We start from the raw sequence: 12,880 nt of genomic DNA on the forward strand, positions 1-12,880 counted from the left end.
CCCGCCAGGCGCCGGCAACACAGCTCTGCCTTCCGCCTCGCCCGCCGTTCCGCGTCCTTCCGAGCTACGAGAGGAAGGCACACTGCAGTCCAGGCATGTAGACATCAGCCTGAGAGAAGGCTATTCCTACGTCTGAGCTTCTCTTCCCCAAATACAACCAAGAGTGAACGCTTACCCTCCGAGACCTTGGAAGATGTACCTAGAAGAATGGAGAATTCATTGCATCATCATTATTATTATATTAATATCATCATTATCGTCATCATCAGTCTTGTTCTCCACTGAATAAATTGTGAAAAAGACTAAAGGAAATCATCAGAAGGACCTGGGCAAAGGAAGCTAACAAAACACTAAATCTTAATCTCTCTTTCTCTCTCTCTGTGTGTGTGTGTGTGTGTGTGTGTGTGTGTGTGTGTGTGTGTCTGTCTGTCTGTCTGTCTGTCTGTCTCTCCCTCCCCTCTCCCCCACCCCATCCCACTCCCTTTCTCCTTTAGGTATATAACAATAACTTCATGTAAAGGCAGAGTCATCTCACTTTTTCTTCACACAACTTAAAGTTTAAAGATAGGGTTCTGAAATCCCACAGTAGTTAGACTGGCCTTGTTTCTCATGAAAGGGTCTTCTTGCTATTTAAATAAGAATTATTTAGAAGACCTGATCCATCTTCCCCAATAAGTGAATGAAACAGGAAAGAAGGTTAGAGGAAAAGGATTTTGCAAGGGGCTTGCTTCTTCCCCTGTTAGCTTGCTTTCCATCAGAAGGTTTCTAAAACAATAAATAAATACAAGGAGCCAAATACCATCACCAATTCCCTTTATTCCTTGGGATTTCTGGTGAAATCTGTTTACAGTAGTTCCCAGTTACAAATTAATCTGCAAAAGCCGCTGTCTGCTCAGCAGTAATCAGTAACATGCGTGTTCTGCAGTGTTTAGCACTGCCCTTGAAATGGGCTATTAAAAATAATGGTTTTACTGTAATCTCAAACCAGCTTTAATTTGCAAACATGTATCAGGACAGATGATCTAAATATTAAGGGGATGGAGTAGGAGAACAAACTAAAACAAATGTATAGCTTCGGGGAAAGAAAAAAATGGAATGATTCATCAGTGATGTTTAAAAAGAGAACCAGATTTTAAAAACATTTTTCCAGAAGGAATGATTATTTTTTCTTTCTTGATCTGTTAATTGTTGTTTACCAGGAAAAGGGCATTGGAAAAATATGAGGGTTGAGTGTGGGCTGATAGATTTTCTAGGAGTTGTAAAGATCCCCCTTTGGCTGATGGCAGGGCTGGGGTGGGAGAGGTTAATGTGTTTTCTTCCTGGTTTGAAAAGGGCATAAACCCTCCTCAGGCCCCTTCCTTCCTTCCCCAGCTGTGTGGATTGCAGAATCTTTAAAAAGCCCAAAGATTTCCAATAAGGCCACTGGCTCTGCCTTCATTGTGTAACTGTTTATTTAAAATAAGTCAATATATTAGTTAAAGCAGTAAGAAGTTAGTGCTCCAGTATTCAAGTGATTCCCACAAGACTGTAAACTGATGCCTCTTTTAAGCCTTAAACTTCATGGTCGTCCCAGAAGTAAAAGTTCTGCTAATGGAGACCCTATGGGCATGGTACATTCCAGCACATCATTAAAGGAAAGAAAAGCAGTCCAGCCAAAGCCAGATGAAATGACTGCACTGTCCACTTTTAATAGGCTTCCTGTGGACAAACAGCACTGTAACACTCTGCAGAGGACAATATTTAAAAACAAGACAACTTGCTGGCAGTTTTCAATACCGTAAAGTTAATAAAGTATGTTCCCATTCACCCTGACATTATGTTTTTAGTTTATAGAGGAAGGCACTTTATAACCTCAGTCTAAATTCCCTTAATTCTGCAGCTTTGGGTTTCTTGAGGTGGCTAAATATACACTAAACTCCAAGCCTAACATCTTTGTTTTAACTCTATTTTTTTGTAGCTTTTCAAGAACGTACATGTGCATTTTTACATTTCTCAAGTGGAGTTTTATTCATGGAGATTCTGTTAAATCCTGTTTCATACAGTTCATGTCAAGAAGCATGAAATAATCTGAGAAATTGACATTTGGCTGAACAATAAGTGCCTGCTAATTAAATTAGCTTCGTGTATAGATATTGATGTGTGTTTAAAAAGAAAATCAATGCTTCCTTTTCCATGTCAGAATAGGATTTTGTAAAATCTTACCTAACCTAACTGACACAAAGATAAGAAATAATGTAAGTATGTCTTTTAGGACTCAAGAGACTTCCCACTGATTCATATATAAATATTTCTCCCAATTTGTCTTTCTCCTACTCCTCTAAATTCTCTACCACCCACAATTTCTTTTCCCAAATCTTTTTATTTAATAGAGTAAACTTTGTAATGAAGCATGACCTTTAGGCAAGATAAACTAGATCAGAAAGCCATGAAATCTAAGGTGATATTCTGTTTAATTTTAATAATTTCTGTTTTTTAATTTAATAAGTATTTTGCAAGCTTTGTTCTCTAAGCATGAATGTGAATTCTGTGATGCTTTGATCAGACAGATCCAGTGAAACAGTCCAGCACAATACAAATTTACCAACAAAAATGCTGTGACTGTCCGTAGCCCCACACACATATCACAACTGCACTGAAGAGAGATTACTGGTGACTCTTGGTGGACTCTGCCTTTTTTTATTTTTTTTAAATTATTATTTTTTTTATCTATTGGGGTGTGCTGTTAGAAAAGAGGAAATTAAAGATAAAACAAATTTAAATAAAAAATTTCCCTTGGTCTGGAAATGGGCCCGACTGAAAGCATGTTAATCTCCACCTCAGTAATTTGGTTCTCCAGGAGAAGACAGAAGCCCTGCTGCTGTGCCCTGCACTTCATAAATCACATCTTTATGTGGACAAGGTCAGGGCACCTAACAGCTCAGACATGGGCCTTTGCAGTGGCTCGAGGATTCAGGCATGTTTACTCTCCTATTCGGCTCTCCGAGGAGTAGTCCAGCACGCTTCTAATTACTTTTGATTATTTTCATTTGCTGGGGTCAGTCTGGCTTGCCAGGACTGCTGGAGGGTTGATTTCCTACAAATCTTGATGTCTTTGTAGGACGGCACTGTGTGCGTTCAGAATTAGCACCCCGTTATTGTCCCTACAGCATGGGATCCTTCATAAATAGACATGGTGATAACAAAAGTTTCCCCAGTGAACCATTACCTACTTCCTTTCTTATTAATTAACTATACAAGCATAATCACCTAGCTGATCTTTCTCCAAAATGCCAAAGATTTTAACAGTTTAATATTTTATAGTATATTTGGCCAGAATGAGAGCAGATTTCTTTTTTGCTTCTATTTTAAAATATATTTAGTAACAACTAGCAGCTCTTTGGAAACTAAGATGAAGTACTTTGCTGAAACAACCGCTCTGGTGAATAAATTATTATACTCAAAGTTTTATTTTTTAAACTCCAGTTAAGGTTGCCATATTTAAAATATTTTTTGCTGGACTATTTTGATGTGTTTCAGTCCTAAGCTATGATGCTGAGTGGTTAATGCACAGCAACAAATTTATACCAAGTTTAAATGAAAATATTATGATAAAATAAAAATGTTAATAAAATACTGTAAAACTTTGGTAGCAAAATAGAGACAATAGAGAAATATTTCCCAAAAGTAGGGATGTTTAACTCTTTGATGTGTATTTATTACAAGATATATTCAAGAAATAAATGATGAAAAAATAAATACAAAAACTGAGACAGTCACAAAAAATGCATAACATATCAATCTGGTTGTTCAGACAACTGGTTGTTTTATATCACTAGGAAAAATTTACTATTATCTTTTTATTTTATAAAAGATAACTTTGCTTACGATTATCATTAGTCTCAAAAGGTGAAATCCCTCATTCTTTTTAACTTCGGACTAAATTAGTGAGGTAGTAAGTGCTTTTGGAAAAAACCTCAACTCTATAAGGAATTCATTTTTCATTATTTTATTAATTTTAATTAATTCAATCTTTCAATATAGTATTTAGCACATTATGCAATAACTCCAGGATCAGATTCTTCCCTCGAGCTTTAGATACACCATCTAAGAGTGCTTTTAGACTCATAATCTTGTGGGGAAAGTTTGTTGGAAGCTTGATTTTCCTCCTCTCTCCACGCCTAGCTGTGTACCTTTGGGTAAGTCACTTAACCTTTGAGTTGGTTTCCATGACAGTTTCATAATATCAGACTATTACGAGTGTTGGGAAAATAAATTGGGTAACGTGAGTGTGAACTGCCCTGAGTTCATGGGAACAGGTCAAAATACTATAAGTTTCACAGTATTTGTGTTTGTGTAACGGGTTACAGTAAACTTACATACATGCACAATGAGGAAGATAGTCTGGCCTATACTTTGGGGAACAGCAAAGTGTAAGTAGTTTTGTTTCCTCTTTCTTCCATTCCAGTGTCAGTTGCCCTAATCCTTACCCTGACCTTGGAAGGGAAGAATTTTAAGAAAAGTGTTTTTTTTCTCTCAAGCTGTGCTACCCATGAAGATGTCCGTCTCTGTCTGGCTTGCAGCTGAGTTTGTTCTGTTCTACCCACTGTGTTCTCTGCCAGTCAGTAAGAGAGAGTATTCTGCAGCAAAGGTGGAATACCATTGAGTTCCAGAGCCCTAAAAACGAGGGTAGGAACACACACACACACATCTTGGACTAGTTTTAGGTCAATATTTGTTACCAAGGCCAGGAAATTTATTCTCTACAATGTCTCCTGGTAGACAGACTTTAAGTACCAAGAGGGCAGGAATTGGGTCTATCTTTTTTGCCCCTGTTGCCCAGAGTCTACCATAATGCATGACATCAAGTATTTAGTAGATGTTTGTTGAAAAAAAAATGGATCAGGTCCTTCCTTGACTTCCATTCTCACCTAGTTTGAATGCCTAATTTGGATGCCTGTTACCTCTAGTCTGAATTATTGCAATGATCTCCTGCCAGATCCTCTGACCACCATTCACTCTCCCACCAGTTTAAAGTCCTTGATGTTAATCCTCTCAACCATCTGCTGTTACTTATTCCCTTGCTCACAGTTTTTCAGTGAGTTCCGATTGCCTAACAATTCAGTATAAATTCATTCCATTTTTTTTGAGAATTCAATGAGGCAATGTAGGTAAATCACTTAGAATCATGAAGAGGATATAGGATATAGTCAATAGAAAATAGCTATTATTATTGGTATTGCTATTATAATTTTAATTGCTATCATTATTATTGCTCAGCCTATAATTTATTTTGCCTTGGTTATCATAGATAAAATCTTATCTATACTTCTAAACCAACCATTTTTTATGTCTGCTGATTTTTACCACCCAGGCTTGACCTTTCCATCCTTCAACCCAAATTATCTGTGCTTCTCTCCTGGTTTATAGCCAGTTCTTCCTTACTTACAGGTGTGTCTTTAATGCTCTTGTCCTCCTAAGGACCATTGTAAGATTTTTAAGGACGGAATCAAGTTTTGTTCCTACTGATATCTTCAATAACAGCTTTCCATCATAAACTAAACTGTCTTTGAGACTTTTTGTAAGAATAAATTAATTATGGCTAAATGTATGGGGAATTACTTTATTTACATCCAAGCAAAGTTGGTTACTTAACACTATTCCCCCTTAGGAATCAGTTGATGCAGTGATGATTCTTTTTCAGGGATTTAGAAAGGAATTCCTACCACTGCTGCCTCTCCAGATAGCACAATATTGCCATACTTGCCTTACCCCATGTTTCCATTTCTTTACCATCTCTCTCCTTTCTCTGGGCACAAATCCTGGACAGTATCTTGGACTCCTCTCCTTCCCTTGTCCCCAATAAATAGTCATTGGTTCAGTTGGTCTGTTAAACTGTTTCTACAGGGTGCTCATTTTCCCACTGGCACTGGTCTAGTGAAGGCTATTGTCCTTTTAGGCCTGAGTTTTTGTGGCATTTTTACACCAAACATTAGTCTTCCTAAAATAACAAAGTTATAACAATGCTTTGCTTTACCTAAAAACAAAAGGTAAAGAGCAAAAAACAGAAGAAAAACCGCACTAACAAAAACTCCAATGGATCCCAATTTGCTAGAAAATAAAGCCCCTAATCCAAAATGCAATCTCCTCTTTTACAATTTGATGTCAAATTTATCGTCTTTCTAGGCCCATTTCCTGCTTGTTTCCTCTACACAAATCTTTAGCACTGGTTAACAACTGGAAATATGAATAGAAGCTCTTGGCCCTTCAACTGTGCTGAGGTAGGTCCTTCACTTCTCTTACCTCTGACACTGACAGCGTTCAGGAGATGAAACAATAGATCAAGTAGGCAAAGTGATAGTTCCATTCATCAAGCTCCTGCAAAGCCTTCCAGGCCCTCTTTCTTGAAATTTTTACAGTATGTAATATTAAAAGCATTCACTAATTAGTCATTATTCTTAAAATAGTTTGGGATATTTCTGTGATCAGCCAATCTACCTGTATACTGTTTGATGGCAGGAAACATCCTTCACACCAGCATTTTCTAATTGGTTATTAGAAAAGTTATTATCAGATATTCCCTGGAAATTGGCTCTGAGGTCAACTCAGAGAGCTAACTTCACCCAATGGATAAAGATAGCTCCCTCTTGGAGCTTCACAATGAGCACCAATGTGCTAAATACACTTAAGTCTAAAACTCTAAAAGTCTAGGAAATCCTTTAGTAAAGAGACCTATTTGGCTTATTCGACCAGGCATCATCGTAGGTAATTAAACTTATGTGAAAGCCTCTCTCCTCTTCCACTGGAACACCTAAGGAAAACAATTTTGTAAATAAAGTTTTATATTACTTTGTTTCAGAAAAGCATAAATATTCCCCATACATATATTTTTCTATCAACTGACTGTTCTCAACTCTTGATAAAAAAAAGTCCCCACAAAACAGTCATAAATAAATAAAGACAAAATGAAGCTTCCACATTTTATTCAAATTGAAAGCATTTGGAAAGTCTATAAAGATCACAAAGAAAGTAGGTTATCAGTAAACTCTAGCCAATCGATCCTTTGCCTGTAAACTATTACAATTGTATTTGAGTACACGGCCTGAGAACCTTCCAAAGGAATATATACAATCTCATTTCAAGATCAACCCACTTCTTCCTATCCTCCTCCATTAAAAGTCCTTCCAAAGCAGAGATTTTTACCATGGGCATATTCACATGCAATGTTTTATATTATTTAGACTTTTCTTAATAAGATTTGGCATTATCTAGATATGCATTTCCCTAGGAGAAAGAAAAGCAGCAGTGCAATCTCCATCTAAGGATGCCTGAATTAAACCTTTAAGAATTCACCTTTTTTCCAGTTTTTGATATTAGATTCATGTGTTATGCCTGCCCATGACTGTCTAACCACGAAACTAACTGGACATTAAATCAGATGGCATACAAAATTACAGGAATTTGATCTTTAGATAAACCACAAACCTTGATGAACTAATGTTGTTCCAGATGAATTAACTCATCCTGAGAAACAGAACATTTCATAGGAGCGACCACACAGTCTTCTCTGCAAAGAACACTAATGGCTGTGATTAATTTGTGTTCTATTGAACGTGCTTGCTTCTATTGAAAGTACACCTAAAAAGGTGTATACTAAAGGAAGGAAGAAGGCTTAGTCAGGCAATTCTGGCCTCAGAATAATTGCCCCACCCCAAATCTCTGATGGTGGATGCTGCATATTACTTATACTTGGTTATGATGTCTGTTACAGCGTTAAGAAACAATGAATGTGTTAAGTCATTATCAATGATTTCATGAAACATTTATCCTTTCTCTACATTGGAAATCCTAAAATTTCATTTCACTATTTCAATGACTGTAGCCAAACACTTAAAAAATAAAGTAACAACACTACAGAGCCAGAAAAGTATGTTTAGTTTATAATCCATTTAGTGAGTGTCACATCTTATGATACATATCAAATGGTAAAATGTCAAAATATTCCAATAGCAATTAAAGTACCAATACAATCTCTATATCATTGTGAAAATATGGACATTGATTTCAACTGTAGCTTTGAAAATATCTTTCTGTAAATGTTGTTGAGTAAATTCTTCAACTTCAAATAAAATCTTAATATAGCCTGTCTATAGAATCCAGAATTAAGTACTGGTCAACTTCCAAGAAGCAGATTCTCAAAGGTATTTGTGTTTTCTATGTAGTTCTTGGCTGGAAAACAAATCCAAGTTTGCTAACACAGTGCCCTACAACTAGAAGGGGGGGATGCCAGAAGGGACATGAATGGAAATACTTAAAGAGGAAAGAAAAATATGCACCCTGATTCACACATAATTTCTCTCCACATATAATCTGGACTGCCAATTTATAAATAAACCATAGAGCTGGATCATGATGTGGAGAACATTGAAATGATGAGCCTAGGAAGGTGATTGAAATGACTACAGGTTTAACATTTTAAACTCATACTTTTGTCTAATATTACATTGTGCCTTATACAATTTTATATTCCTCCACCCCACATCCATTCTACAAGAGCTGGCGAGGTTCAAAATTTCTCAAAAAAAGTGTTGATTAATTAAATTTAAATGACTCACTAAGTGTTTTAGCTACGTAACTTTTAAAAAATGTGGTGGTGGTTGTCGTCCCTGGAGAAATTACCATAAAACTGTTTATCATTGTCCGTATATAATCTCCTTGGTAATCAGTGTTGGAAGATTTCAAGAAGGTCATTATAAAAGTCTTCATAAAATATATTTTGCTGAATTTTAATCTTGGAAAACACAGTGAAGTCACAACATATACACGTTCAAGACTTACAACTATTACAAACAGAGGGAAACGGAAGGCAGGGAGTATGGATGAGAGAGAAAGAGGGAGGGAGAATGAATGAGCCTTTACCCAGGAAAGAGCATGAGACGGAAACACGAATCATCTGTTTCCTCAAAAGGAATCAGTGTTCAAATGCCTTTTGTACTATGAGTATCGTGTTCCATCAAGTGTGACTCTCGGGTTTAAAGATGTGTATTTTTCACACCATGCATCCTCTGAATGCAAATATACCACTTCCTCTGGTGCTCGGCCGAAGCCACGGTGGTCCATTCCAACACTGGATGGTTCAAGAGCAGAGCTGAGCAGAGGAAAAATTTGATTATACTTGATTTTCAATTACCTGCTCACTGTAGAACCTAAGCTCTCAGTAAGATGTAAATTCACTGAATTTGGTTTCATTTATGAAAAATATTCCATTGCAATGACAAGATAAGTAATTGAGACAGTGTGTTTTTATGCGTAGTGGGGTGCAGACCAGCACTTCTCTAATTATTCTCGCCCCCAAAATTTTTTGTGTGTGGTCCAGGTGATAACCGAGGTTCATGGCTCTCATAATTCAACTCTCGAATCACCCGTACCTAGGAAGAAGTGCCAGTCATCTGTTTTCACAAACTTCCTGTCTCCCATGGCCTTTCACAGGGAAGGTGATGGGCTGAACATGGTAAACTGCCATAATGAGGTAGGAAGTTTTCTTCCTAGGGCCCAGTAAACTACAAGCTTCCTCTCAGCAAAAAGGAAAACACTTGGCCTCATGAGCAATCAGTTTCATCCACAGTTTCCTGCTAGACCATAGCCTTCTGATGTTACACCCTTGAGGGAGTCTGCTTCTAGTTATGTAATAGTGAGAAAGTTGCTTCAACTTCTTCAGCCTCTCTTTTAGTATCTCTAAAATTGCAGGCCAGGCATGTTCATGCCTGTAATCATTCCAGGACTCTGGGACGCCAAGGTGGGCAGATCACGAGGTCAGGAGTTTGAGACGAGCCTGACCAACATAGTGAAACCCTGTCTCTACTAAAAATACAAAAAATTAGCTGGGCATGGTGGTGGGCACCTGTAATCCCAGCTGCTTGGGAGGCTGAGGCAGGAGAATTGCTTGAACCCGGGAGGCAGAAGTTGCGGCGAGCCAAGATCACGCCACTGCATCCAGCCCGGGCAACAGTGCGAGATTCCGTCTCAAAAAAATAAATAAATAAAATTGCAATAATGGGACTTCTAAGAAGTTATTAGGGTTAAACAATTGAGGTGAAGTATATAAAGCACTTAGTGTAATATCTGGTAAATAGAGACTCATAAAGAAGTACAGTACTTGGAGAGATAGCATAAATCCAAATAAAAATTTTAAAAAAGAAGTTTAGGATAGTGACTAACAACACAGAATCTGCAGTGGGGCAGCCTGGATTCAAATCACAGCTTCGCTATGTGCTTGGGGTGTGACATATGTAAAGTTACTTATCAGCTTGGTTTCCTCCTTTGTAAAATGAGTATAATGATAAAAAGTATCTCATAGGGCTATTGAGAGGATGAAATGAGGTAATCCATGCACAGCACTTAATTTAGTGTCTAGCACATACTAAGCACCTAATAAGCATGAGCTATTTTTAAATGGAGTTCTAACTCAATAAAATCGTTGGTACTTCCTATGCAAATGCCCTCTGTGGTTTTTTTTGTTGGTGGTGGATTTTTATATAGCCATCTTTATATCAAAAGAGAAACAAATATTTTGTCCCTTTAATTTATTTTCTGGTCACTCAGGCAGCAATTTGCTTCTGAGAAACAGAGATGGAAACATATAGAGCCAGAGAAGAATAACCAAAATAAGTGATAGGAATACAAATTCATAATGGTGTCTAAACACTAAGCCAGGAATTGCAATCCGAATGGGGAAAAACATTTTCTGAGAAAGGATTTTTTTGGAGACAGATAAAAAAAAAATGAAGAAAAATAAGAATCTTCAAAATTACGCTAGAAATGATATGTGTTTTTTAAAATAAACCTTGAACAGAAATTATGTTTAAACTACATTTTCCTCAATATTTGAAGTAAGCTAAATGAATAAGATCTAGTACTTGATAGCACAACAGGGTGACTACAGGGTGTAACTTTTAGTTATTTTTAAATGTACAATAATATATTGTATAATAATATATTAGTTATTTTAAATATATATTATATATTTAACAATAATATATTAGTTATTTTAAAATGTACAATATATTATTGTACAATATATTATTGTACATTTTAAAATAACTAAAATAATATATTGTACATTTTGAAATAACTAAAAGAGTATAACTGAGTTGTTTGTAAAACAAAAAAAGGCTGAATGCTTGAAGTTATTGATACCCTCATTTAACCTGATGATATTATTATGCATTATATGCCTGGATCAAAATATCTCATGTACCCCATAAATACATACACCTGCTATGTACCCACAAAAATTAAAAATTAAAAATGTTTTAAAAATATACATTTCTTCAGAATGTGGTAAAAAGAAGACAAAACATTCACAGAAAAGGAAGGACAATATACAAGATAAAACATTAGTGTGAATCCAGAGGACCTCAGTAGACGCTGTTCAATTTTGGGTGCAAAAATTGGTTCTGCTGGCTGGGAGTTTATGTTGCAAAGCAGGACAATGAGTTCAACACGTAAACCAACTTAGTTCAATTTGCTCCACAAGTATTTATGAGGAATCTTCTATATCCTGGCACATCATTTGACATTTAGTGTACATTGATGATTAAGTCATGGTCACCACCTTTAAGTAGCTTTAAAATCCAATGAAAAAAATCTATTGTGTTGGCCATTGGTTACATACCACACCCTATAGTTAGTCATAAGGGAACTGAACCATGCATGGATCCTGGGGAATCATTGCCACTACTGGGAAGACCAACCCTAATATAAGTGCTGGCAATGGCAGCTGAGCCTCAGCATCCTTATATACAGCAAGAGAGGCACAGTCTTATTTTTGCATTCTTACCTTGACACTGCCATCAAAAGGGGTCTGACCTGGATATTTACAAATTCCCTGAGCCAACAGTTCAGAATTTAGAGGATATGGACAGACCTAAAAGAAGACAAAAGACTTTTTTTTCCTGATTAAAAAAAATACTGGTCACAGATTAAAGACAAACCATTCACTCATTTATCCTCTCCATGTTCCAGGTACCACGTTGATGGTAAAGAGAGAAGATAAATATACTGAATACCCATCTGTGATGGTTTTAAAATATATTAAGAAATTTTAAATTTTCTCTCCCCTTCTTCAAAAAGTGGTCTAATTCTCCTCATGTTGAATATAAGCTGAGCTTAGTGACACACTTCCGATAAACAGAATGAGGAGAAAGGGATGCTATGTGAGTTTTGAAATTTGATTATAAAAAAGAAGAGTCTCTCTCTCTCTCTCTCTCCCTGTCATTCATGTTCTGTGGATATGATGCAGCCTGTAGAAAGGCCTATGCGGGGAACAATTAGGATGTGCCAGCTATGTGAAAGAGTGGCCTTGGAAAACAAATTATCCAGCCTCAGTCCCATTTTTAGGTGACTGAAGCTGCCATTTTCCCTGTGACCTGATGAGACCCTGGACCACAACTGCCCAGCTAGCTGAGCCACCCCTGAATTCCTAAACCATAGAAACTGAGAACACTAAATGTTTACTGTTGTTTTCAACCATTAAGTTTTGGGATAATTTGTGGGGCAGCAATAGATACCAAGCACACCAGCCACAGCTCTTTGGTGGATACGGAGAATTCAGTTGCCTGATGTCCTCAGACCATCAGAGAATAGCTCTGGGATATTTCCCTGGCCCCACAGCACTCTCTCTGATTCCTTGGCTTTTGACTCACAGGTTGAAAATTACCAAACCAAACATGCTGCAGGATAAGGTTTAGAAGGCAGAGGAAACAAAAAATTAATATTAAACCATTGTCCCTGCTGTTAAGTCCCATGCAATCTATTTAGAGAGACAAGACTAAGCTACTTGAAAGAACGGCAAATAGTACAAGACTGTACGTCATTAAGTACTAAATTATGTCATTCGAATGTT

At 36.9% G+C, this 12,880-nt stretch overlaps 1 protein-coding gene across 15 annotated transcripts in view; it reads right to left on the minus strand.

Moving 5' to 3' along the window:
- The window catches only part of MECOM (MDS1 and EVI1 complex locus), a 580,206-nt gene that overhangs the window by 66,050 nt on the left and 501,276 nt on the right, over window positions 1–12,880 (minus strand). For 2 of the 15 annotated variants that reach the window (XM_047447678.1, XM_047447677.1), the window contains exon 2: window positions 176–199. The exons of the other annotated variants lie outside the window; for them this stretch is intronic. In XM_047447678.1, coding sequence (XP_047303634.1) covers window positions 176–199 — 24 coding nt within the window. The remainder of the gene's footprint in view (window positions 1–175; window positions 200–12,880) is intronic. 15 annotated transcript variants of the gene reach the window in all.

The sequence above is a fragment of the Homo sapiens genome, chromosome 3 (genome assembly GCF_000001405.40).
Source record: "Homo sapiens chromosome 3, GRCh38.p14 Primary Assembly".
Lineage (NCBI taxonomy): Eukaryota > Metazoa > Chordata > Mammalia > Primates > Hominidae > Homo > Homo sapiens.